General features: G+C 56.3%; 2 protein-coding genes across 14 annotated transcripts in view, besides 6 other annotated features; one reads left to right on the plus strand and one right to left on the minus strand.

Annotated features, from left to right (window-relative positions):
- Positions 1-15,552, plus strand: part of SMARCB1 (SWI/SNF related BAF chromatin remodeling complex subunit B1) — a 51,044-nt gene extending 35,492 nt beyond the window's left edge. For all 4 annotated transcript variants that reach the window (NM_001362877.2, NM_003073.5, NM_001317946.2 and 1 more), the window contains exons 7-9: positions 2,768-2,958; positions 11,115-11,246; positions 11,684-15,552. In NM_001362877.2, the coding sequence (NP_001349806.1) occupies positions 2,768-2,958; positions 11,115-11,246; positions 11,684-11,723 (363 nt within the window). In that variant the 3' untranslated portion in view covers positions 11,724-15,552. The remainder of the gene's footprint in view (positions 1-2,767; positions 2,959-11,114; positions 11,247-11,683) is intronic.
- Positions 2,226-2,759: an enhancer, noted in NCBI's record as "H3K4me1 hESC enhancer chr22:24166870-24167403 (GRCh37/hg19 assembly coordinates)". NCBI's record gives its function as "activates a minimal SCP1, AML or CMV promoter by ChIP-STARR-seq in naive H9 embryonic stem cells {active_cell/tissue: H9 hESC(naive)}" and the evidence as "EXISTENCE:reporter gene assay evidence [ECO:0000049][PMID:30033119]".
- Positions 2,760-3,294: an enhancer, noted in NCBI's record as "H3K27ac-H3K4me1 hESC enhancer chr22:24167404-24167938 (GRCh37/hg19 assembly coordinates)". NCBI's record gives its function as "activates a minimal SCP1, AML or CMV promoter by ChIP-STARR-seq in naive H9 embryonic stem cells {active_cell/tissue: H9 hESC(naive)}" and the evidence as "EXISTENCE:reporter gene assay evidence [ECO:0000049][PMID:30033119]".
- Positions 4,063-4,783: an enhancer, noted in NCBI's record as "H3K27ac-H3K4me1 hESC enhancer chr22:24168707-24169427 (GRCh37/hg19 assembly coordinates)". NCBI's record gives its function as "activates a minimal SCP1, AML or CMV promoter by ChIP-STARR-seq in primed H9 embryonic stem cells {active_cell/tissue: H9 hESC(primed)}" and the evidence as "EXISTENCE:reporter gene assay evidence [ECO:0000049][PMID:30033119]".
- Positions 12,046-16,549, minus strand: DERL3 (derlin 3). 10 transcript variants are annotated; one of them, XM_047441596.1, is made up of 7 exons: positions 16,438-16,549; positions 16,254-16,316; positions 16,107-16,180; positions 15,895-15,988; positions 15,202-15,397; positions 14,607-14,697; positions 12,046-12,475 (listed from the first exon to the last, which is right to left on the minus strand). In XM_047441596.1, exons 1-7 carry the CDS (start codon positions 16,528-16,530, stop codon positions 12,370-12,372), a joined length of 717 nt encoding a protein of 238 aa, XP_047297552.1. In that variant the 5' UTR covers positions 16,531-16,549; the 3' UTR covers positions 12,046-12,369. The 10 variants fall into 10 exon arrangements, with proteins under 10 accessions (XP_047297552.1, XP_047297553.1, XP_011528807.1 ...); XM_047441597.1 differs by having other exon boundaries at positions 12,046-12,522; XM_011530505.4 differs by having other exon boundaries at positions 12,046-14,505.
- Positions 16,472-16,774: a silencer, noted in NCBI's record as "fragment chr22:24181116-24181418 (GRCh37/hg19 assembly coordinates)". NCBI's record gives its function as "represses an EF-1alpha promoter that drives an FKBP-Casp9 reporter gene in an ReSE screen in HepG2 liver carcinoma cells {active_cell/tissue: HepG2}" and the evidence as "EXISTENCE:reporter gene assay evidence [ECO:0000049][PMID:32094911]".
- Positions 19,753-20,310: an enhancer, noted in NCBI's record as "H3K27ac-H3K4me1 hESC enhancer chr22:24184397-24184954 (GRCh37/hg19 assembly coordinates)". NCBI's record gives its function as "activates a minimal SCP1, AML or CMV promoter by ChIP-STARR-seq in naive H9 embryonic stem cells {active_cell/tissue: H9 hESC(naive)}" and the evidence as "EXISTENCE:reporter gene assay evidence [ECO:0000049][PMID:30033119]".
- Positions 21,925-22,418: an enhancer, noted in NCBI's record as "ENSG00000099964_22:22516569-22517062 (NCBI36/hg18 genome assembly) insert fragment". NCBI's record gives its function as "drives selective reporter gene expression in differentiated C2C12 myotubes {active_cell/tissue: C2C12}" and the evidence as "EXISTENCE:reporter gene assay evidence [ECO:0000049][PMID:22144875]".

Consider the following 24,342-nt stretch of genomic DNA (forward strand, 5'->3'; position numbering starts at 1 on the left):
CCACCAAGGCCACTGCCAGATGGCTCCCTTCCTCCCTCCCCGCCTTCCAGTAGAGGTCTCAGCATGGCAGCTCAGCCCATGTCTCTTGTCTGCCCAAAATACCGCAGAAGCTTCCCACATCCCTCTGTGGAAGCCAAGCCTGTCCAAAGGCCTCAGGGCCCTAACTGCTCTCTGCTACAGTCCCTCGCCACCCTCATCTCCTCCCTTTTCCCCTCACTGGGCAGATCCGGGTACCAGACCTTGGCTCCTCAGTCTTTTACATCTCTGTGTCCCCCACCTGGGACTGTTCTCCCCCAGGGAGCCACATTCCTGCTCCCTGGGCACATTCACTTCTTCCTAAAGGCCACCTTCCTAGAAGCCTTCCTGGCCTCCTGACTTCTGAGGCCAGCCTGGACTTTCTCCCCCTCCCTCCCTTTCCTCCCTGGCACTCCCGTGCTTTCTGGTACACCACATGCTCACTTAACCTACTTAGTGTCTGTCAGTGCCCCCACCAGCATAGCTTTTTTTTTTTTTTTTTTTTTTTTTTTTTTTTTTTTTTTTTGACACAGAGTCTCGCTGTGTTGCCCAGGCTGGACTCAAACACCTGAGCTCCAGTGATCTTCCCACCTCAGCCTCCCAAGTAACTGAGACTACAGACATGTACCACCTCACCTTTCTCAGAACAGCCTTTTGAATGTTTGTCTCTCTTGTGCCTCTCCTTGGTAGACACACAGTCTAGACTTTGGAATAAATGAATGTGTTAGTGACTGAATGGCAGGGGACAGGCAACTCCATCCATGAGCCCAGGGCAGGGAGGGCTTGCTGGGTGGGAGCCATGTGCCTATGGTCCTATGGGGTCCTGTTGGGTGGTTCCATGGGCTGTCTGCTGCTGCACGTTCTTTTTGGACCCAGCACCCACGTGGTTTGCTTGGCATTAGATTCCAGTTGGGAAGGGCCAGTGCCTCCGATTCCATTCATCATCAGGCGTGGGCGTATGTGGAGATAGCAAAGGACATGGGGGCCCGACTGCAGTCCCCATTGCCTGGCTGCATGCCGTGTACAGGACACTGCAGCTCTGCCCTCGGCTTCCTCCCTCTGCGTGAGGATTCCTTCATTCCCAGAACAAATACACCCTGCCTGTGCTAGAATTCCTGGAGGCAAATGATTCAGATTGTTTCAGACAGTCCTAAGTGCTGTGAAGAAAATAGGAGAGGTGCCAGCATGGTGGCCCGCACGTATAGTCGCAGCTACTCAGGAGACTCTCGGGGGAGGATCTTTTGAGGCCAGCCTGGGCCAACACAGAGAGGCAGCAGGGAAGCCTGCGGGGAACAGAAGGCTCAACCACAGGGTCTCTTCTCTGCCCAAAACACTTGATACATTGCCTGGGCCTTGTAGAAACCTTGTCTCTACAAAATATTAGCCAGACATGGTAGTGCATGTCCGTAGTTCCAGCTACTCAGGAGGCTGAGGCAGAAGGGTCTCTTGAGCCCAGGAGTTCAAGGCTGTAGTGAGTCATGATCATGCCATTGCACTCCAGCCTGAGTGACAGAGTGACATCCTGTCTCCAAAGGGGGAGAAAATGGAGAGAAGGGTGTGGAAAGGGGCTGATGGGAAGGGGAGCTCTCAGGAGCTGGCACTTTAGCTTAGACCAGGATGCTGAGAAGAGGCTGGTCCTGCCAGGTGAGGGGAAGAGCATTCTAGCAAGTGGGTGGTGATGTGCAGGGCTCAGAGGCACAGGGCTTTATGAACATGATCGGGGATTGGGGTACCCTAATCTCTAAAAGGAGGCAGAAGTCCCCGGAAGGGCTGGACTCCGAGGCAGTGGTGAGTTTTCCCTGCAGCTGCCCACCCTGATCCTTGACTTAAAAGCTAAGGGCCAACAATGAATGGGCAGGTGCACTGTGACCTGGTTGCCCTGTGGAGCACTGGATAGCAGTGAGGGATGACCCCAGCCCCACACTCTAATGGGAGGAGTCTTGCAAGCATGATGCAGAGTGAATGAACCTGGACCCCGAAGTGTCCATCCTATTCAGAACAGCCACACCTACTCAAGGGGTGAGAAGTCAAAATGGTGCCTCCCCAGGGGGGCAGGTGTAGGTGGGAGCCCCTGGGGTACAGTCTGTGTTCTCTCAGCTGGGTGCTGGCTTCCCAGGTGTCCACTAGTGGAAAACCCCTGACAGCACACCCGGGGCCTGGGCCCTCTGGCTGTGAGTCACGTGCTGCAGGGAGTCCTCTGGGGAATGTGGAGGAGCTGGCCCAGCACTGTGATCCCTGCAGGCTTCCCTGTCCCCTCACCGTGTTGACCCAGAGTGGGGTGCATCTGTGAACACGCTAGGCAGGGTTTTCCGAGAGGGGCAAGCTCTGTAAAGGGCATAGACATTGGCTCAAGACAGGGCTTAGGGATGCCTTAGCTGAGCCCTGCCTTTCTGGTGTAGTCACGTAAGACCGATGGCAGCAGGAGCGAAGGGCAGAAAGGAAGGTCCCCACCAGCACAGGGCACAGGGGAGATGGGATGAAGGTAAGGTGGGACTCAGGTGCCCCCGGGGTCACTTCAGGGCCTCCCGAGGGTGACTGTGCTGGGCCCTGAGCCAGAGCCCCTCATGGCAGACAGGGTTGTGGGGTCAGCCTTGTTTTGGGGATGGGGAACTGGAAGGACAAGGACCACCTGCAGTTCTCAGCTGGTGGACCCTGGTGGGCAGGGCCCACCCCAGGCCTGGCAGGGCCCCGCTCCTCGCGGCCTCCCTGGGCTGCAAAAGCTCTAACTTGTGTCCTTTGGTTGTTGCCTCAGCTGAACATCCATGTGGGAAACATTTCCCTGGTGGACCAGTTTGAGTGGGACATGTCAGAGAAGGAGAACTCACCAGAGAAGTTTGCCCTGAAGCTGTGCTCGGAGCTGGGGTTGGGCGGGGAGTTTGTCACCACCATCGCATACAGCATCCGGGGACAGCTGAGCTGGCATCAGAAGACCTACGCCTTCAGGTAGGATCATGCATGAGTCTCTCCCTCCCTCATCTCCCTGCAAAACTGTTTTGAGAAAGACTTCTCTGTGTGAGCGGTGATACCTTTGAGGCTTTCTCACGCTTCGCAGCACAATCTGGCTGGGGTCTGTGTGTTTGCTCCGTCCTCCTCCTGCCCTATGTATCTCTCCAGGGCTCCGCTGTGCCAGGTAGGGTTAGAAGCACCTAACACAATAGCTGGCAAAGACTTGGAGTTCTGTCAGGGTGAACCTCAAGTCCTTGCCTCCACGGAGCCCTGGCCTGCCCCCACCATCCACCATTCAGTTGTCCTGCCCCACACCCTCTCTCTCTGCTCTTGCCCAGACTGTTATTTTGGTCAGGGTGACCCCTGCCCAGGGTTCTTCATCTGTTGAACTTGAATTATGTCTTAAACACAAAGGCCCGCCCAGCTTTTGAGAGTCAGGGGTCCCTAGCAGCTCCTTCTTACTCTAGTATCTCTGCCTTTGGTCAGTCAGAGAGCATTTGATGAGTACCATGCTGGGCTGGACCCCATCCTGGCTGCCCTGGAAGATAGAGACAGGTCACCTTGATCCCTGCCTGTAGCATTTGGGCTGGCTGAGATGGTGGAAGTGTGAACAGAATATTCCAGTCCAGTGTCCTCTGTGGTAGGGATGGGGATGGACCCGGGAGAGGCCCTCCTGTTCCTGGCAGGAGGTGGGACTCAGAGTTAAAAGTGAGGTCAAGGCCCAGTGCGATGGCTCACACCTGCAGTCCTAGCACTTCGCGGAGCTGAGGTGGATCACCAGAACCCAGTAGTTCAAGACCAGCCTGGGAAAAACATGGTGAGACCCCACCTCTACAAAAAAAAAAAAATAGAAAAAATGAGCCGGGCATGTTGGTACATGCCTGTAGTTTCAGCTACTCAGGAAGCTGAGGTGGGAGGATCGCCTGAGCTCAAGAGGTGGAGGCTGCAGTGAGCCAAGATCACACCACTGCACTCCAGCCTGGGTGACAGAGCGAGACCCTGTCTCCAAAAAAAAAAAAAAAAATAGCGAGGTTGAACTCTCCCGGCTCAGCAGGACTCTAGGACTGGGAAGCCCCGTGGTTCCTCACCCTGTCCTCTGTGTTGGGATGGGGTGGGGGTGCAGCAAGCATCCCTACATCAAAACAGGATGTTCAGATTTAGTCTGCTCATCAGACTATCATCATCCACATCTGCAGTCATCACTCAGGGATGACAGCTTAAAATGCTACATGAGGAGCAAATAGGAAGGTCTGTTTTGCAAAGCCATGACAATTAATGGAGCTCGTTAGGTTTGTGTCTAACTTGTTTTCCCAGACATCCCAAGAGACAGCTTTCTATGACTTCCCATAAATCTGAGCAAGGAAGAAGGAATGAGAGCCACCCACGGGGCTCAAGGGCCCGGGCCTGGGAAACAGCTGAGTCCCTGCCTGAGCGCCATGGTGCTGAGATCCTGTGACCTGCCCCCCAGCAGCCCTGCCAGTCACATGGTTCTGCTTCACAGACAGGGCAGCCCAGAGAGGAGGCTGGGGGGCTGGTGTCTGATGCCTCCCTGTTCCCTCGGGGTGTTGCCTGGGAGTGCAGCTGTAGCGTGCATTCACCCTGCACAGAGCCAAGCCCTATGGCCGGAGAGCCAGTCAAGGGTGGCCTCCCTCCACCAGAGTTGACTCTGAGGCCCCGGGAGGCAGTCATGTTGCGCGCATCAACACTGAGCACCTCCTCCCGCAGAGGCTGATCCAGTCAGAACCCTCGTCTTGGGCTCACAGGTGCAGGTGGTAGGCTGGCTGCCCCCAGCATCCAGCCCCTACGGTGTTGACCTTCACCTAGTCCTGCAGCCGCTGCCAGTGCCCACAGTCCAGGGTCAGGAACTGAAGTCCCCGGGGCCTCTTGACAGGTCCTTGCAACATCCCTTCTTTCAGCCACCATGGCACCATCCCTCCTGCTCTGACCCGAAGGTGACCTGAGCCTAAATTCCTTTCCAAGTTCCGGGCCCTCTGCAGTTTGCAGAGTGGCTCCAGAGCAGACCCCCTGGGGAGTCCCTGGTGGTGGCAGGTCAGGATTTAGAGGCAGAGGCGGGCCCCTTCTTTATCTCATCGACCACTTAGTGCATTCCAGTTGCAGGGCCTGGGGGCATCACAGACCCCCTGCCCCCTGCTCTCTCTTATGCTGAGAATGCAGGTTTCAAATCTTTGGGGTTAAAGGCAAAGGCCATCCCGCTGGGACCAAGGTGAGCACACGTCCCTATCACAGCAGCCAGATGGAGAGGCGGCCTGCCTGGGGAACTGGGAAGTGTCCTGAGTGGGCTTTTAGCATCAGGAGGGCTGCGTGTGTCTTCCCAGTCCCCACACTGGAAGACAGCTGCAAGGATAGGACAGGGCCTTAGGGTTGGGCTGTCATCCCTGACTCCAACTCGCGTTCCCCCCACTGTACCACCCCACCCCATGGGATCTTAGGAGGGACTTCGTTTAACTCTGTCCCCAGGGAGACCAGTGTCAGTCCTGCCTGGCCCTGCCTGGGGAAAGGAGGCTGGGCCACTGAGTCCCCAGGTCCAGGGGCCAGTCAGCCCACAGAGAGCTAGACCAGGAGTCCTGGCCTGGTCTCTGCCACACAGAAAGCTTGGCAACTGCTGTGTCACATGACTTTTTGTTTTGTTTTGAGATGGGGTCTCGCTCTGTCGCCCAGGCTGGAGTGCAGTGGCGTGATCTCGGCTCACTGCAAGCTCTGCCTCCTGGGTTCACGCCATTCTCCTGCCTCAGGCTCCTGAGTAGATGGGACTACAGGTGCCCGCCACCACGCCCAGCTAATTTTTGTGTTTTTAGTAGAGACGGGGTTTCACCGTATTAGCTAGGATGGTCTGGATCTCCTGACCTTGTGATCCACCCATCTCGGCCTCCCAAAGTGCTGGGATTACAGGCGTGAGCCACCGCGCTCGGCCACATGACTTCTTAAGAAGGGTTTTCAGGCTAGGCATGGTGGCTCACGCCTGTAATCCCAGCACTTTGGGAGGCCGAGGTGGGCGGATCACCTGAGGTCAGGAGTTAGAGACAGGCCAACATGGCAAAACCCCGTCTCTACTAGAAGTAGAAAAATTAGCCAGGTGTGGTGGTGGGCACCCGTAATCCCAGCTACTCGGGAGGCTGAGGCAGGAGAATTGCTTGAACCCGTGAGGCGGAGATTGCAGTGAGCTGAGATTGCACCATTGTGCTCCAGCCCGACAGAGCTAGACTCCATCTCAAAAAAAAGGGTTTTCAGCTCTGGACCTAGGTCACTCCATAATGGAAGCACTCGCTGATTCCCCAAGAGCCAGTCCCTCCATCTCTCCCAGCCAGAGCTCAGTGCCTGACTTCCATACCCTCCTCGGCAGTGGGGACATTGATTGGATCCATGGTACAGTGGGGCAAGCTGCTGGCCACAGGACATGTGTGTGCAAGGCCACTATGCCCACACCTCAGGGGAACCAGGGCAGAGAACAGCCTGTTCCCTTTGGCAGTGGGACAGACAGGAGACAAGCATGAAGGGGAAACAGGGGCATGTGACAAACTGGTCAGAAGCCCTAGGCTCCTAGAGGACAGACTGGGACCAGAGTGACACAGGCGTCCCAGAGCCAGTGGAGTGGGATGAAGGGCCAGCGAAAGGAGGGAGACAGGGCTCAAGGGGAAGGAGGCTGGGCTAGGCAGAGCCTCTGAGGAGAGCTGATCCTGCAAAGTTACTGGCACCTCCCCTGGGCCAGCCCTGTGTTCCTGGCCAGGGACGGGAGGAGACAGTGCCCTGTCTGGCAGAGGAAACAGATTCATGTGCATGACTATCAGTGTGCCATGGCCACAGAAAGCACCGGAGGCTGTGGGCATGAGGAAGGGCAGTTGGGGGCATAGAACCTGGGGTGAGGATGGCCAGGGCAGGTGCTGATGGGGGACTGCAGCAGGAAGGACCGAGAGGAGACCAGGGACAGGCAGGTGCTTGAGAAGGAAGGTGGGCCCTGTGGATCAGGCAGGGTATCTGCCCCAGGGGGCTCTGCACACCAGCAGTCCTACACGTACAGGGTGGGGATGAAAAGAGACTAAGGGTCAGGGAGCTTGGTAGCTGGGCCTGCATGAGGGACAGAGAGGCAGTGTCCCTCTGATGGCACAGCATCAGGAATTAGGCTGGGGTATGTCAGGTACACGTTGGGCTGGTTGAGCGTAAGCCTCAGGTTCCTTCCGAAGCTCTGCCCGCCAGCCCTGGCCTGATGTCAGGTTTTGTTTGTTTTTTTAACAGCTTTATTGTGATATAATTCATAAACCATACAATTCACACATTTAGAGTATATAGTGCAGCGGTTTTTGATATATGCAGAGAGCTGTGTAACTATCACCACTGTCAATTTTAGGACTTTTTCATCACCCCACTGCAGGCAGTCCCGTTCCTCCCCGCTGTCTCTCAGCCCTAGGTGTCCACTCATCCACTTTCTATCTGTAGATTTGCCTATTCCGGGTACTTCATAGAAATGGAACCATCTAATATGTGGTCTTTTATGACTGGCTTGTTAGCATAATGTTTTCAAGGATTATCCATGTTGTAGCATCTTTTATCAGGACTTCATTCTTTTTTATGATTGAATATTATCTCATTGCATGGATATACCACATTTTATTCATTCATCAGCAGATTGACTTTTGGGTTGTTTCCATTTTTCAGCTATTGTGAGTACTGCTGCTGAGAACATTTGTGTATGAGTTTTTGTGTGAACATCTGTTTTCAATTTTCTTGGATATATACCCAGGAGTAGAATTGCTGGGTCACGTGACAACTCAGTGGTTAGCATTTTGAAGAATTTCTAGACTGTTTTCCAAAGTGGCTGCACCATTTTGCATTCCCACCAGAAGCGTGCGATTCCCGTTTCTCTGGATCCTGCTGGCATTTGCTGTTCTCTTTTTGATCGTAGCCGTCTGAGGAGGTGTGAAGTAATTGTGGTTTTGATTTGCATTTTTCTAATGACTGATGATATTGAGCATCTTTGCATGTATTTCTGGCTGTTTGTGTATCTTCTTTGGAGAAAGTGCTTTGCTAGTTTCTTAATTGGGTTTTATTTTATTGTTGAGTTGTAATTGTTCTTTATATATTCTACATAGAAGTCCCTCATCAGATAGATACATGATTTGAAGATATTTTCTCTCATTTGGAGGATTGCCTTTTCACTTTCTTGATAGTGTTCTTTGAAGCACAAAAGTTTTCATTTTGATGTAGTCCAATTTATCTTTTTTTTTTTTTTTTTTTTTTTTTTTTTTTTTGAGACAGTCTCGCTGTGTCACCAGGCTGGAGTGTAGTGCTGTGATCTTGGCTCACTGCATCCTCCGCCTCCTGAGTTCAAGTGATTCTCCTACCTCAGCCTCCCAAGTAGCTGGGACTACAGGCACCTGCCACCACACCCAGCTAATTTTTTGTTTTTAGTAGAGACGGGGTTTCACCATGTTGGCCAGGATGGTCTCCATCTCTTGACCTCATAATCCGCCCGCCTCGGCCTCCCAAAGTGCTGGGATTACAGGTGTGAGCCACTGCACCAGGCCTGTAATTTATATATTGTTTTAGTTTGTTGCTAGTGCTTTTGGTTTCATATCTAAGAATCCATTGTCAATCCAGAGTCATGTTGCCCCAGCACCATGTTGAAAACTGCTCTTCCTCCATTGAGTGGACTTGGCACCCTTCTAAAAATCATTTGAGGCTCCTGGCGGCCTCGGAGGTGTGAATTGCAAACATAAGGGTGACACCAAGTTTTGGCATCTCCCCTTCCTGGTCGAGTGGCTGTGGACAGGTCATTTTCCCTTGAAGTCTGTATTTTGTCATTTGTAACTTGGGGATAATACTTGTGTGTTGCATCACATGAGGTCATGAAAGTGAGATCACATTGAAAGTAAACCTCAAGATACTCGACCGGCATCAGTCCTGGCTCCCTCTGTCCCTCAGACGTGAGCATCCCCTGCCTGGGTATCTTTGTCCCCACCTGGACACTTTGGGTGGTAGGAAGGTCTGGGGTCCCTGGCGGCTTCGAAGCCCGTGAACCAGAATTCCCTGGAAGGAATGGGGAGCAGGGTGGCTCCCAGGGTCCCCAGCACTCTTTGGAACTCAGGACAGCATCTCCATGCCCACATGCCCCCAAAACCCAAGGCAGGCTAGTGCTGGCTCTAGGCCCGTTCTTACATGGTTGGTGCGAGCATTTCTTACTTTAGAACAAACCCACTGGAGTGGAATATTCCCAGCATCAAGGGGAGGTAAACAAAGGACCCTCTGGGACCCACTCGCCAGCTCTTGTTTAAGAGGAAAACATGTTTTGCTCCCCTCGTTGTGGGCTTGGTACCTTTCACGTCTGCCCTCCAAGGAAGGCTGCTGGGAGCCCTCACGGTGAGGAATGATGTTTGGGGTCTGAGGCTAGGGTGGTCCCTAGACTGCTAAACCACCCGGTGCTGGCCAGGGACCAGCTGTCAGGAGCTGCTGAGGATGGGTCAGCCCCAGAGGGTGGGGGTGCCGACATTGCCTCTGGCCCTGCCTCTGCGTCACCAGTACGAGCTTGAGCTTCTGCGACTCATGAGCATGGACCTGGTGGGCTGAGCTTCAGCTGTGAGGGGTCAGGCCTGCTGCAGGGAGAGCCAGCTGCAGCCAGTGCCCTGCGCTGTGCCCACAGTCCCTGAGACCCCAGGCTGAGGAGAGCAGCACTGAGCCCAACCTGGAACGGGCTCACGGCTACTGGAGCTGGGTGTGTGCTCACTGGTGTGGATGTGCAGAGCCGGGACTCGCTCTGCAAGCAGGCTGGTCCCACAACCTTGAGCCACCCACTACAGGGAGGCTGTGAGAAGGTCCCTGGCCCCTAGGAAGCTCCCTCAGTGGAGATGTTTTGGCTGCTTTAATAACAGTCATCCTTCCAAAGCCCTTCACAGCAATAAATGTTTCCATATTCCAGATGAGGTTTGCAGGGACCTGTCCTCTCTATCAGTGTCCACCTGGCGCCTCCCCCGAGTCCGGCCTGCCCTTGCTTCTCCCAGAGCTCATGGTGTTTTTCAGGGCCGCAGGCTGGCAGGGTGTCCTTCTCCCAGGGGACTGAGCCTAGGGAGAGCCAAGTGGAGGTGCCCAAGTGGAGGAGAAAGGAAAGGACCACAGAGAGGGGAGGGGAAGTGGGAGAGTCATGGTTAGGACCTCAGGCTGAGGCCTTCTGCCAAGCCAGGGGTCTGGTGTCACTCAACTGGGAAACACTGTCAGCACCCAAAGCTGCTCTCAGAGGTGGGGGTGACGGGACCACTGCATGTGGGAGGCACACGGGCCCTGTGGCATCCACAGCTGTGGTCTCCTTAGTGTCCTGTCACAGACTTGCAAATCAAAGCCCAGAGAGGCGGCAGCCAGCCACCCTCCCACCTCCCCAGCACTCCTGTGCCCACCCCATGCCTGTTTAGCCTCTGCCCTTGCTGCCCCCTTCCTCTGCTGTGTCCTTTTGGCAAGAGGAAGGTACCTCGGGGCAGATTTGGGTGGTCCTTGTGAGACCCAGGGCAGAGTGTGGTCCGGGGATACGGCTTCTGTCCAGCTCCCTGCCAGACAGCTGTCTGATCCTAAGCACAGACCAGCCTCTCGGGGGTTTTGTTCGGCCAGGAGGTGGGCTGAGGGGCAAGTGTGTGGAACATGCAGGAACAGGCTGTGCAGTGGCCCTCAGTAGTGGGGGGCTGGGGACTTCTGGGAGACTCCTTTGCTCCCATTCGCCATCCATCCCCTTTCCCTGATCAGTGGGCCCTGGCTCTGGACACTGAGTGGAGCAGACAGTCCTCCTGCCCCTATAGGTTCCACCTCCTGACTGGCACTGTGGCATCAGCATGGTCCAGCCCGTGCTGTCCTGTCAAGGACCACCTCCACAGCCAGTGGCCCCTTCCTCCATCTCAGAGACAGAGAGACGCTGGGCACAAAAGCCCTGTTGAAAGTTCACTTTGAAGGGAAGCCCATGGGGTCATGGCGACAACACTTGTTATGGAAAGGCCCTGGCGCCTCCAGCAGCTCCCTTGAGGTTCAGGTGACTGGAGCATCCACTGGGTGCCAGCAGTGCTGCTGGGAGGAGCAGGGCACAGACAGGGGCCAAAGCTTTCTGAGGATTCTCCATCTATAGCTGGAAAAGTCATTCCTCTCACTGCCTCCCCTCCTCGTAGCGAGAACCCTCTGCCCACAGTGGAGATTGCCATCCGGAACACGGGCGATGCGGACCAGTGGTGCCCACTGCTGGAGACTCTGACAGACGCTGAGATGGAGAAGAAGATCCGCGACCAGGACAGGAACACGAGGTACCCCTGGCCCTGTGGTCCTGGGCTCTGCCCACAGGCACCTGGCTTTCCAGGCAGAGGCAGGGCCATTGCCTTTCCCAGTCTCCCATGGTCTCTGAGACAGAGTACCTCTAGTGCTGCTAGAGGCAGGCAGGCTTCTGGGTGATAAGGCCCCATCCAAACGCCAGGGTATGTTTCCCTGCATGGAACAAACATAATTCCTCAGGCTGAGGGTCTGACCACAGCCCAGATCCAGGTTTTGGGGTCCCTGGAGTGATGAGCAGGGCCTGAGTGGCAGACAGGCGAGGCTGAGAGAAGGCTGGGTCTGACCCTGCTGGGGGCCCACATCCTGCCTCTGTTCCCACCCCTACACTTGGCTGCCCTGTAGAGCCTTGGGAAGGGCAGCGCCCAGGCTGGGAGCTGGCCCCGACTCATTGCCCTCCCCACTCCTCTTCCAGGCGGATGAGGCGTCTTGCCAACACGGCCCCGGCCTGGTAACCAGCCCATCAGCACACGGCTCCCACGGAGCATCTCAGAAGATTGGGCCGCCTCTCCTCCATCTTCTGGCAAGGACAGAGGCGAGGGGACAGCCCAGCGCCATCCTGAGGATCGGGTGGGGGTGGAGTGGGGGCTTCCAGGTGGCCCTTCCCGGCACACATTCCATTTGTTGAGCCCCAGTCCTGCCCCCCACCCCACCCTCCCTACCCCTCCCCAGTCTCTGGGGTCAGGAAGAAACCTTATTTTAGGTTGTGTTTTGTTTTTGTATAGGAGCCCCAGGCAGGGCTAGTAACAGTTTTTAAATAAAAGGCAACAGGTCATGTTCAATTTCTTCAACAGGTCATGTTCAATTTCTTCAAAGTTTTAACATAAAAATAATGAGAGCCAGGAGTGGGGCCGGGGCCTGGGGGGACGAAGGTGGTATGTGAACAAGGTTGGCACACAGGCCTCACCCTCCTCTGCCTCAGATTCCCAAGTGGGCAGGTGGGGGTGAATGGGGCTCCGGGTAGCACCTCAGCTCCTCTCAGCTCCCCTCAGCCTGTTCTCCTTCCAGACCCAGAGAGCTGAGAAGAGTAGCTGTGAGGCTCAGGGCAAGAGGCTCTCTGCCTTTCAGGAACAGCCCTAACCCTGCTCCCCTTGCTTGGCCTCAGGAAGGTGCCGCGAGCTCTCCTGCCGTCCCTGGGCCGCCCTGGCTCTGCTGTGTCCAGATGGTCAGGCTACTGCCAGCTGGGGCCTTGCTGCTCTGAAGTCCCCTGCGGAGGGCCCAGTCCTGTGTGGGCACTGCTGGGCTGTCGCCAGCCTGGGTGCAGGAGGGCTGTTCTAGCTCCAGTGGCACCCATAGCCAGGTCAGCTGGGGCCCTTTCCCACCCCAGCAGGTGCTGTGGCCTGGGCCAGCTCCTGCCTTACAAGCCAGCTGTGAGGAATATGGGAATAGCCCTCCCGGCCTGGTGCCAGCTCTTGGAGTTGACACGGTACAGGGAGGAGACACAGCCCAGGGTCCCTTCCCAGCCCTGCCTCCAAGGAGTTCATGTCCCCTCTGTTCTCATCTGTAATAGGGAGGTGTCCCCATTCTTCAGAATGGACACAGGATCTGGGAGGGCAGCAAACTGGCTCGCAGCTCCAGCCTTACTGAAGAGAATGGGCACAGATCCGGGCACAGATCCCAGCACAGACTGCTGCCACCCTCAGCTGTTGGCAGGTCCCATGCTGCCAGGGCAGGGCTAGGGTCAGAGGCTGCTGTGCTCCCTGGAAGTGGGGTAGGGCCCCATGTGGGGCAGAGGCAGAGCTCTGATTAGGGATTGGGGTTCTTGGTCGCTGAGATGTGAGAGGAGGGCTCCTTTGAGCACATGTTAGCATGGGACTCTTCCCAGGGAGTTTGCACTCAGGGCCTCTGCCCTCCATCAAAGAGTGGAACTCCCCAGAGCCCCATGCACAGCAAGGGGACAGCTGGGCCTTACTGGAAGGCCTTGAACAAAGGGGAAGATTCCCAGCCCAGCTGCTCTTAGACATGAACAGGTTTCATTGCTGAGGTGTTTGTTCTGTCCATGAGGTAGGAACCTCGGCAATGAAAGGGTGAGGCAGCCCTGTGTCTCCACAACTGGGGGGATGGAAGGAACCTTGGCTGCCTCACCCCACAGGTCGGGCAGGGCCACCTGGCTGGGAGGTGCCGGGAAGGCTGGGCCCTCACTCCTGACCGCCAGCTCACACCGCCGCAAAGCCATCTCCACAAGGTCTGGCTACAACACGGAGGGCAGACTCAACAGAGAACAGTGTTGTTACCATGAAAATGACAACCTGTCTTTGGAGGAGGCCCCGTGCCACTGAGCATCCAGAAATAAACCACAACATGGACAGGCTTAGAACAACAAGGAAAGCTGCCAGGTCAGAAGAGAAAAATGAGCCACAGGGGTCGGATAAGGCTCACACACGTCCTCAGCTAAAAAGGGCAGGAACAGAACCTTCCAGAAGTCCCTGCCTCACCCAGTCTCAGAACTCTGCTAAGGTGAAAACTTAGGCTCTGAGGTCATAGAAAGGGCAGAAGACCTAGTCCTGGCCCTCTTCTGCACCTGAATCCATGGGGCTTTGGCATCACCAGATGAAAAATGAGGCATACGCCCACCTGTCAGGGTGGCTGATGAGAGACAGGAGAGGCTAGATTGGCATCAGCCTGAAGGCACCACTGGCAGGAACATCTGTAGGCTGGTTTGGCACAACCTAGGAGACGCCTGTCCTGGCCCCAGCAGCCGAAATCTGGTGAACTTCCCCGCTGACTGGCAGGTAGCAGAGGCCTATGGTGGGCAGGACTTGCCCAAGGCCCTGGTGGGGCCAGGATGAGAACCCTGAGCCTGTCACCTGTGAGCTCAAAAGCTCTGCCTGGCAACCTGTGAGCTCAAAGCTCTGCCAGGCAACCATGGGCAGTTTCTTTGCCCTCTGTGGGCACCCCTATCCTACCACCTGCAGTTGGGCTGAGAGGCCACACTGAGTGAGGACGGGGCAGGCATAGAAGGATGTGGCCAGGTGAGATGGGGAAGCCAGTGCTGTGGGCCAAGAGACTGCAGCTCATTCTGTTTATTCAGGTGGGCCCTTGCATGGGCCCAGCCTTTAGGATGGGTTTTTTCTGCCCCAAGTAGGGGTCATGGGTAGGATGGAAGCTGCCAGAAGCCTCTTAGGCCTGGCCCTGGGTGGGGGTCACTGCTGCGGGGGTGGCAGATGGGGTCCTGGCTGTTCCTCAGGGAGGGGCAGGTAATTGGGGTCTTCTGCAGGGGCATCCAGGAGCAGCTTTCTGTGGGGAGGGGCCCGTGTTGAGCACAGGCCAGCACAGGTCCCCATCGGTGGGGATCCTTCTGAGGGTGGGGAGAGGGAGGGAGGGCTCTCAACACTCACAGGAAGCCAGGGGTCTGCAGGAGCCTCTTGCCTCCAGGCTGGTTGGGGAAGACGTCCTCCAGGAAGTAGTAGATATGGCCCACCGCAATCCCTGTGAGACAGCCACGGACTGTGGGGTCACCCTCCACAGCCCAGAGTCCTAGACCAGCAGAGCCTGCCCCAGGCCCCCATCCACAGCCTGGTGGCCCTGCAGGCCCCACAGCATGAGTGCCCCAAAGCCTTGCACAGAGTGCCAGCCCCGGGTTGGCCGTGAAGGACAAGCTTAAAAGGCCCAGAAGCAGGCAGGACCCAGGGAGGGGAGGGCCTGAGAATAGTGGAGGAGTGGGAGCCATGGGGCAGGAACCCTGACCCTCCCATCCTCACTCCCATCAGGACCGTGCAAGCATCAGTAGATCCGTCCTGACGATGCAAATTATGTGGGCCGGCTGGCTTGAGGGGCTGTAAGAGCACAGCAGCTGGGAGGGCAGGAAGATGGGGATGGAGCCAGGTGTGAGGAGAACTCCAGCAAGGATGGGAGAGGGGCCCCAGGGCATAAGCAGCGTGTCCTGAGGGGAGTGGCCAGCCTGGGGCGGACTAGATGTACCGGGAGGCTCACCCAGCAGGTCCACGAGGATGGAGTTGCCCAGCAGCAGCGAGAAGCCCATGAGCGCCCAAGGCAGGAACGGTGCCTGGAAAGTGAGCAGGCCGAAGAAGTTGACCCTCACCCGAGGGCTGCGGCGGCTCCACACGTACACCAGCATGGCCATGAGGGCCTGGCCCAGGAAGAACAGGCTGCCCAGGAGTCCCAGCAGCTGGGCCAGAGTCAAGGTGCTCCGGTGCAGGCCTCAGCCCAAGCCCAGGGCCCCTCTGACTTCCCAAGACCCTGGAATTCTTCCCCTCATCTCCCCTATGTGCTATTCCCTCATCAAGATGAGCCAGTCCAATAAAGGCGACACACTCCACGGGCTTCAGGTCCCACGAAATCTGCCCTGCACACCTACAGCCTCATCCCAGGGCCCAACCACTGCCTGTCCCTGCCCCAGTTTCTCCCGGCTACTCGCATTCAGGGCTCAGCTAGTGGCCCTGACAACCCACCTGGCTCTTTTGTGCATGGCTTTGTATTTTGCATACAGCACTGAAGATCTAGCCCTGACCCCTGCAGCTGAGCACAGAGTGGGCCCTCAACACATACTAAGCTGGAGACAGCGACTGTGTCCCTCTCTGGCATGGCTGTGTTGGCCCCAGGACCAACACAGGCTGGACGCCGAGGCGCCCTAGCCCGAGGTTCCAGAGCCTGCGGGAAGGATACGGTCATAAGGACGCCCCCGAAGAGAAACATGAAGACGAAGTCGGCCGTGCGGCCGCGGAAGGAGCCCTCTTCCAGCATGCGGCAGTAGCGGAACCTACGGCGTCGGTATAGGAAGTGCCACCAGGCGGGGCCTCAGTTTCCCCGTCCCGGCCTCTCTCCCAGCCCGGCCGGCCTGCCCTCCACCCAGCCCGTGTCCGCAGGGCGCAGGATACACGAAGAGCATGTTGAAGAAGAAGCTGAATCCCAGGGGCCCGAAGAAGAGGAAGTTGGTGACGAGCCTCCAGACCTACGGGGGACGGGCGGTCAGGTGCGGGGTGGGTGGGTCGGGCCCACAGGTGCGCGGCGCGGGGCGGCCTCACCTGGAACTTCCGGAACACAAGGTGCGGGTTGAAGTAGAGTTGAAAGGGGCTGAGGAGCTCCAGCTGCTGTGGAACCAGGGGCCAGTCAAGAGCTGCCCGGGAGCCACGCCGTAACCATGGCGACCCTCACCCCTCCCGCCAGAGGCTGTAACCAAGGCGACGTCCGGTCCGCCCGGCCGCTTACCACCGCGGCGGTGGTGAGGACACAGGCTGCGGTGTAAGCCCGCGTCACCGCCGGCACCTGCAGGAACTCGGCCGCTAGTCCCTGCCACGCCATTGAACCTTCTCAAGCACGCGTGGCCCAGCCAGCAACGCGCTCTTTAACCCGCCTCCCAGCCCCGCCTTCGGCCAATCCGCATCCGAGGCGCTGCGCGCCCCAGGCTGAAAAGAGAGCCCCTGAGCCCGACAGCCAATGGAAGGAAGAAGAGGGAAATTAGGGGCGGAAAGGGAGAGTGGGCGGGTAGAGGCTGGTGGCCAATGGGCAGGCGCCAAGGTTGAGCACGTGGCGGTTGTTGTGGCTGCGGTGGTGGCGCGGGAGAACGTGTGGCCAATGAGGAACTGGTCATTTCGCGGCTTTCTAGGAGAGGACCAGTAGCGTGGACCCACGACACCACGGGGGCGGGGCTAAGATCGTATGGGTTACAGGAGCGAAGACCCGAGCAGGCGAGGCAAAACTGGAAAGGGCGGGGCGCGTGGGCGGGGCGCGGAGTGTGGCGGCTCAGACCGTGCTGGCTCACTAACTGACGACCTAGCCACAACGTTGTCCTCGCTGCCAGCCCAAGACAGGCCCACCTAACCCACAGCAGGGAGGCATTCGGGAATGTGTCCAAACCTCCCCAAACGTCCAGGGCCCCACTCAAATGTGCCGGCCGCTGTCGGGGTTCTTCCCCGGGGGCCCAAGGAAGGAGAGGCAGGACTGCGGGATTGAGTCCAGGTGGGGCGCGAGGGTTGAGAGGCGCACCAGAGCAAGTGGACAGGCAGGAGAGGTCCTCAATATTTTGGTGGAAAATAGAAACCAACCTACCCACCTTCCTTCCCTCCTTCCCTCCCTCCCTCCCTCCCTTCCTTCCTTCCACCGTTTATTAAACAACTGTTTGCCTGACACTGTTCTAGATGTTGGGGATGTAGCATGCAATAAAAGACACTGTCTCTTAGAGTCCAGCCAGGAGGCAGTCAATACAATAAGCTAGTGCTGACACTTGATGAGAATATTGCCAAGTGAGGGGTGGGGCCACGTGGGCGTCCGCAGTGCCAGGTGGGGTGACCTGGGATACCTCTAAAGTTTGTCACTTTGCAAGCATCCCTGTGTCCATCAGGATGGTAACTGTGAAAAGCAAAACAATAAAACAAAATAAGTGTTGGCGAGGATATGGGGAAATTGGAACCCTTGGGCACCGTTGGTGGGAATATAAAATGGTGCATCCGCTGTGAAAAACAATATGATCATGACTCAAAAAATTAAAAATAGAATTACCGTATGATCCAGCAATGCTGCTTGTGGGTACACATTCAAAAGAATCAAAAGCAGGGACTTGAACAGATGTTCATACACCCATGTTCATGGCCCCATTATTCACAATGGTTCACATCAGTTCACCCACCGATGAGACAGACGAAATGTGCTGTCTACATGCAATGCAATACCATTCAACCTTAAAGGAATGAAATTCGGATACATGATGCAGCATGGATGACCCTTGAAGACATTACACCCAGTAACATAAACCAGTCACAAGGCTGGGCGCAGTGGCTCACACCTGTAATCCCAGCACTTTGGGAGGCCGAGGCGGGTGGATCACCTGAGGTCAGGAGTTCGAGACCAGCCTGGCCAACATGGTGAAACCTCGTCTCTACTAAAAATACAAAAATTAGCTGGGCGTGGTGGCGGGCACCTGTAATCCTGGCTATTCGGGAGGCTGAGGCAGGAGAATTGCTTGAATCCGGGAGATGGAGGTTGTGGTGAGCCGAGATTGCACCACTGCACTCCAGCCTGGGCAACAGAGTGAGACTCCGTCTCAAAAAAAAAAAAACCAGTCACAAAAAGACAAATACTGTATGGTTCCACTTATATGAGAGGGGATCAGGGAGTTATTGTTTAATGAGTGCAGTTCCAGTTTGGGAAAATGAAAAAGTTCTGGAGATGGATGGTGGGGAGGGTTGCATAAGAATGTTTAATACCACTGAACTGAACACTTGAAAATAGTTTGGACAAATTTTATGTTGTGTATATGTTACTAAAATTTAAAAAAAAACAACAAACCTCTGTGTTTGCTGTCAGGGTAGTGGACTGCCAGAGGAATCCTTGAGCAGGGGGAATCCTTAAGGGACAGTGATTACTTTCGGGGCTGGGAGGTGGAACCTGGAGGACAAGGAGGGGTGGGATATGGGTTTGCCTACAGACGGGACAGGGCTGAGAGGGGAGTCCAAGTGGATTCAGAGGCCTGAGCCGCAGAGTGGTTGGATGGTGGTGGTCTTTGTTGAGATGGAGGGCTCGTGGGGAGAAGGTGAGGGGCATAGAGGGTCCTGTTCTGGACTCATCGAATTTGAGGCATCTGTGTGACATCACTTGGAAAAATCTGAGTGTGGTGTTGGGGTAGGGGTTGGAGCAGACAGTCTAAATGTGGGTGCCGTCATCCAGTAGTAGATCAATGGTATTTGTAGCTTTGGGCGTGTGTGAGATGCTCAAGGGGCAAGGGTTGATGGAGAAAAGAGGCCAGGCCTGGGTAGCCTGACCTGCAGTAGCCAGGGAGGGAAGGCAGCCCCAGCTGGGGAGGCCAAGGGAGGCTGAGCCAGGAAAGGGCTTCAGGAGCCAGGCAGTGAGAATCCAGGGAGACGTGGCCCGGGAAGGGACTGTGAATTGCAGCCATGCCAAGGTTCCTGGTAACCAGGATAATGGCAGGCAGGAGGGAGAGGAAGGCACACAAATGGATGTGCCTTAACAAACAAGGGGAGTGCAGCCTTGGAGGGAAGTGTGGAAAACGAGGGATGCTCTGGACAGGGCCCTGAGGTCCCCCGAGGAGACTGGAACTGGCCAAGAGGGAGAACTGGCTGAGAAGGCTCTCAGGTGGATCCCAAGAGCGTGAGGGTCCCACAAGGGCCCTGAGAGGGGTTCCCTGGGGAGTGGGGTGAGACCAGTGCCTAATGACAGTGGGTTCAGGAGCCTTCCTCCCTGCTCTGGAGGGGACGGGGAGAGCCTGGAGTGCTGGAGGGAAGTGCATTTGCTGGAGGGATGTGAGGAGAAGGTCTGGCCTCATACAGCAGGGGTTGGACCAAGACACTGAGGGGTTGGGGGCTGGGAGCAGGGTGAGCGGACCCCCGCAGACAACCTTGGTTTTCCAGCAAAGCAGGCTAAGGTCATGTTGGAAGCATGCCAGGCAGAGCAAATCCCACCCTGGCAGCCACAGTGTGCAGCAGGGCGGGGACCCAGGGCCTCTGACGCCTGGGCGGGCGCCCGGTGGGCACAAAGGAGCCGGTGCAGGAGGTCGGGTTTCATGTCAGCGTGGGGAAGGGGAGATATTCCTCCTCCAGGCACTTAGCAGGCGCTGGCCGGCCCTCAACTCAGGGTCAGGCTGGGGCTAACAGGAGGGGATGTCATTGTCGACAGGGGCGTCTGTCTCCCCTTCGACTGGGGGCCGATAAGGCAGGCGCCCAGATTGGGGGCTGAGAAGCACATTCCTGGGAGGCCAGGAGCCTGGGGCGGGTGGGGGAGGCCAGCCAGGGCTGGGAGGGAGGACATCCAGGGAACAGCAGCTGGGTCCACTGCAGAGGCTCCCTTTCCGGAGCCCCGGGATATCCTCAGATGGGGGAACTGAGGCACGTAAGGATGCAGAACAGGGCCTGGGGCAGACCTCCATTCTTTCTTGTCCAGTCTGAGGCCCAGAACAGGCCACTCTGGAAATACTAGGTCCACTTCTCCTTGGACCCTTGAGCCCCTCCAGATAATTCTTTATAGAGGGAAGCCCTGGGCATCCCAAGTTCCCAGGGTCCTAGAGATGCAGGGTGTGCCTTACCCTAACATCAGGGTGGCAGACCTGTCGGCTGGGCCAGCCTTCTTTCTCCTGTGCTGAGGATGGTGGGTGGGTGGAGACCTGTGGTTCCTCGGCAAGGTGACAATGGGCTCTGCTCCCCATGCCACCTCCCTGGCATTGTGACGCTTCCTGCTGACTCCCAGAGGACACCTAGATCTCCTGTCCAGGCCCTCTCAGTGTCTGTAGGCAGGATAGCGCCCTCTGCATACTCTCCCCACCCAGCTTTCCCCCTCACTGGCCTCACACACTAGGAGGGGCCATCCTCAGCCCCCAAGCCTGGAGTCAGCTCTATACCCTCAGCCCCATGTTGCACTTTTTTTTTTTTTTCCTAGAGACAGGGTCTTGCTCTGTTGCCCAGACTGGAGAGTAGTGGCGTGATCACAGCTCACTGCAGCCTCAACCTCTTGGGCTCAAGTGATCCTCCCACCTCAACCTCCCAAGTAGCTGGGACAACAGGCATATGCCACCATGCCCCGCTAATTTTTTAATTTTTTTGTAGAGATGGCGTCTCACTGTGTTGCTTAGACTGGTCGCAAACCCCTGTCCTCAAGCAATCCTCCCTTGGACTCCCAAAGTGCTGGGATTACAGGCGTGAGCCACCACGCCCGGCCCCCTATGTCACACTTGATGCTCCCATGGAACTCTCTAGTCCTTTCCCTTCTCTCCTATGCCTTACCACCACCACTAACTCTTATTCAGGCCTCAGGTTCTCTCCTCTAATATTGTCCCAGCTCTCTGAACTATTCATTCTGTTAAAAAAAAAAAAAAAAAAAAGAGTAAGGCTGGGTGTGGCGGCTCACGCCTGTAGTCCTAGCACTTTGGGAGGCTGAGGAAGGCGGATTGCCTGAGCTCAGGAGTTCAACACCAGCCTGGGCAACATACAGAAACCCCATCTCTACAAAAAATACAGAAATTAGCCAGACGTGCTGGTGCATGCCTGTAGCCCCAAGTGGGAAGGGGGAGAGAGCCAGGGGGCTGAGGCTGGAGGATCGCTTGAGCCTGGGAGGTCAAGGCTGCAGTGAGCAGAGATTGCACCACTGCACTCCAGCCTGGGTGACAGAGTGAGACCCCGACTCTTAAAAATATTTTTTAAAAAATGTTTCCTGGCTGGGCACATTGGCTCATGCCTGTAATCTCAGAACCCTGGGAGGCCAAGGCCGGTGGATCACCTGAGGTCAGGAGTTGGAGACCAGCCTGGCCAACATGGTGAAACCCTGTCTCTATTAAAGATACAAAAATTAGCCAAGCAAGGTGGTATGCACCTGTAATCCCAGCTACTCAGGAGGCTGAGGCACGAGAATCACCTGAACCCCGGGGGCGGATGTTGCGGTGAGCCAAGATCGTGCCACTGCACTCCAGCCTGGGCGACAGAACAAGACTCTGTCTCAAAAATAATAAAATAATAAAATAAATATGTTTCTTAAAAGCAAAATAAATAAAATTAAAAAAATAAGAGAGGAAGAGCAGAGGGTGAAAGTGCCTCCTACTCCAGGAAGCCCTCCCTGGTCACCTTCAAAGGGACCAGAGCTCACCTACTTCTGTTAGAGTCCTGAGCACTTAATTTTTAAATATATTTTATTCTAAAGGCAGTCCATGCCTGTTGTAACTAACCACAAGAATCAAACAAACTGAACGTTTGTGTACCTGCTGGTGCAGCTGTATTTTCTTCTTGATGACACATAGTGCCTTTTGGGCCCTGAGCACTTGTCCATTGGGGGACCTCTCCCCTCTTTGAGCACGGGGCCCACCCCCTTTGAGCACAGGGACCCCTGCAATTGCTGTGAGTAGGCTTCCAGCTAGCCCCTCCCAGAAACAGCTGTGTCCCCCTTGGCCCTTCCTGTCTGGGCCACAGGCTATTTTTAGCACTGAATCCGGAACCCACATAGCAGCAGCTGCTTGTGGCCGGAGCGCAAGAACAACAAACCATCCAGGTGGGTTGTGTCAGGCTGCAGAGGGAGCGGCCTGGGCCTGGCCCTCTGAACCTGGTAGCAGAATCTGGACTTTCCAGGAATAAGCTGGTCTCTGGGTGGGATGGGGAGGGAGGAAGCAGAATGGGGCAGAGGATGGGTTGCACTAGCTAGGCCAGGATAGGGGAAGGGCCTGTGCAAAGGCCCTGAGGTAACTGGGGGAGAGGAAGGGAGCAGAGGAGAGAAGGTGAAGGAGGCAAGGAAGAAGAGTTGCTTGTGACGGGAGGGAGAAGCGGGGCCAGGCCAGGCAGAGGTGTGTCGGCCGTGGTCTCTGTCCTAATCAGATGAGCCGGGGAGGAGAGCGGTGGCCTGCAGTGGCTTGCATTAACAGCGAGGGAGTGGAAGGGTTAGGATGGCTGAAGCCACAGGCCTTAGTGAATGCTTGGTAGTGGGGGTGAAGGTAGGAGGGGTCCTGGCCTACCCAGCTTGGGGGACAGTGAGCCCCCACTGGGTGGAGACATGGGTGAATGGCCAGTAAGGGAGGGAGACCACTCGTTGAGTCAGGCAGGTGAGCTTGGGGTGCTGTGGGGTGGAAGCCCTCCCTGGCCTCTAGCCCAGTCCTCCCAGCTCCTTCCCTTCCGTGGCCCTGGTCATTCCTGCTTCATGCAGAAGGGCTGCAGTTGTCCACACAATGGCCCCTCTAGGCCTGGTTTCTGCTGCGGAGCTGGCACAGGCAGGGGCTTGGTAAACAGGGAAAAACAGGGAAACTTGTGAAGACAGAGACCTGGACTCCAGGGCTGGAAATGCAGCCTCGGGGCTGGCATTGTGACCTGAGCACTCCCTTCCCTCTCTGGCTCTGTGTCCCTCTCTGTGAGATGCGGGTCAGAAGGGTCCATGTGTAGAGTCTCTTTCAGCTCCAAGGTTGTACTCTGATCTATAATGGGGGTATCAGAGATTTCTGGGTGGAAGCCCCTTCCTGTAACAAACACAGCTGGCCTCCCCATCCAAGGCCCATCTCTGCTATGAATAAGTGAATGCTTATGAGCAAGAATGCACCAACAGAGGAAGCTGGAGGGCCCCTGCCAGTCCTCTCTGCCGGATCTGTTCCTCGCTGTCTCCTCTCAGCCAGGAGCCTTCATGGGCCTATGGTCAGGAACAGCCAGAGAGGCCTGCAGGGCTGGGGAGGGAGTCGCTGTGGGTGCCTTTTTCCTGCAGGAGCTCAGCTTCTGGCCAGGGGAGGAGACACTGAATCCCATACCAAGCAGGGAGTGGAAATGCACTGGTGAGTGGTCCAGGGCAGCCGTGGGGCAGGAGAGCTCCTGATGAGGACAGGAGGAGGAGGGGATGTGCTAGGCAGGGACAAAGGCTTAAGCAAAAGTGGGGAGGCAGGAATGGGCCCGTGTGCTGCTCATGGACTAGGCAAGGACCTGTGAAGTGCGGGAGATAATAGCTGCTCAGTGATCTATAGCCAGACTGCACCATGGCTTTTATTAAACTCACCGAACCCTCATCACCACCTGATGAAGTAGGTTACTATTACGGATGAGAAAATAGGCTCAGAGAGGTTCAGTAAACTGCCTGAGGACACACAGCTAAAGAGGCACAAAATCAGCAGTCCTGGCTTTGCCACCATAACGGGTGATGGAAGGGACCCATGCGGAGGAAGTGAGCTATCCCTGACCCCATCACTGGGGCACAGGGGAGTGAGGGACATCACCAACCAGCTAATGCTGTGCAGCCCCAGACCCTTTTCCAGCTCCGGTTTGGAGGTGAGAACTTTTTGCAGCCTCTGGGCTCCCAGGGAGCGTCTCCAACATGAGACTCCACTCCTGAGCTGCCTCCCTGCTGTCTGGGCCTCGTTTTACTGTCTCTGACCCTTCATGGCTGATGAAACTGTCTCCATTCAGCCCTCAGCTGCGGGACCTGCCTGAGCCTGTGTCCTGACTGTCATGACCCAGAGCAATTGCCAGGAATTCCCACTTCCTGCTGTGGCCGCTGCCAGAATGTCAAAGCCACCTCCGGCCAAGCACCCCAGAGCTCCAGAGCATCTGGTGGGGGCTTCCCCCTCCCCTGCCTCAGCTATTTTCAAGCTCAGCACTGTGGGCGGTGTAGGGGGAGAAGCAGATTATCTGTTTGGCAGAGTCAGCCATATGG

This window comes from Homo sapiens, chromosome 22 (assembly GCF_000001405.40).
Source record: "Homo sapiens chromosome 22, GRCh38.p14 Primary Assembly".
NCBI classification, from domain to species: domain Eukaryota; kingdom Metazoa; phylum Chordata; class Mammalia; order Primates; family Hominidae; genus Homo; species Homo sapiens.

Coding starts and splice junctions, on each gene's coding strand:
- DERL3 (XM_017029078.3), bottom strand. CDS start 16,530: ATGGCGTGGCAGGGACTAGCGGCCGAGTTCCTGCAGGTGCCGGCGGTG. Junction 16,320..16,437: donor TCCTCACCACCGCCGCGGTG/GTAAGCGGCCGG, acceptor CTGGTTCCACAG/CAGCTGGAGCTCCTCAGCCC. Junction 12,523..14,606: donor CTGCAGACCCCTGGCTTCCT/GTGAGTGTTGAG, acceptor TCCTGCACCCAG/GCTGGCGACAGCCCAGCAGT.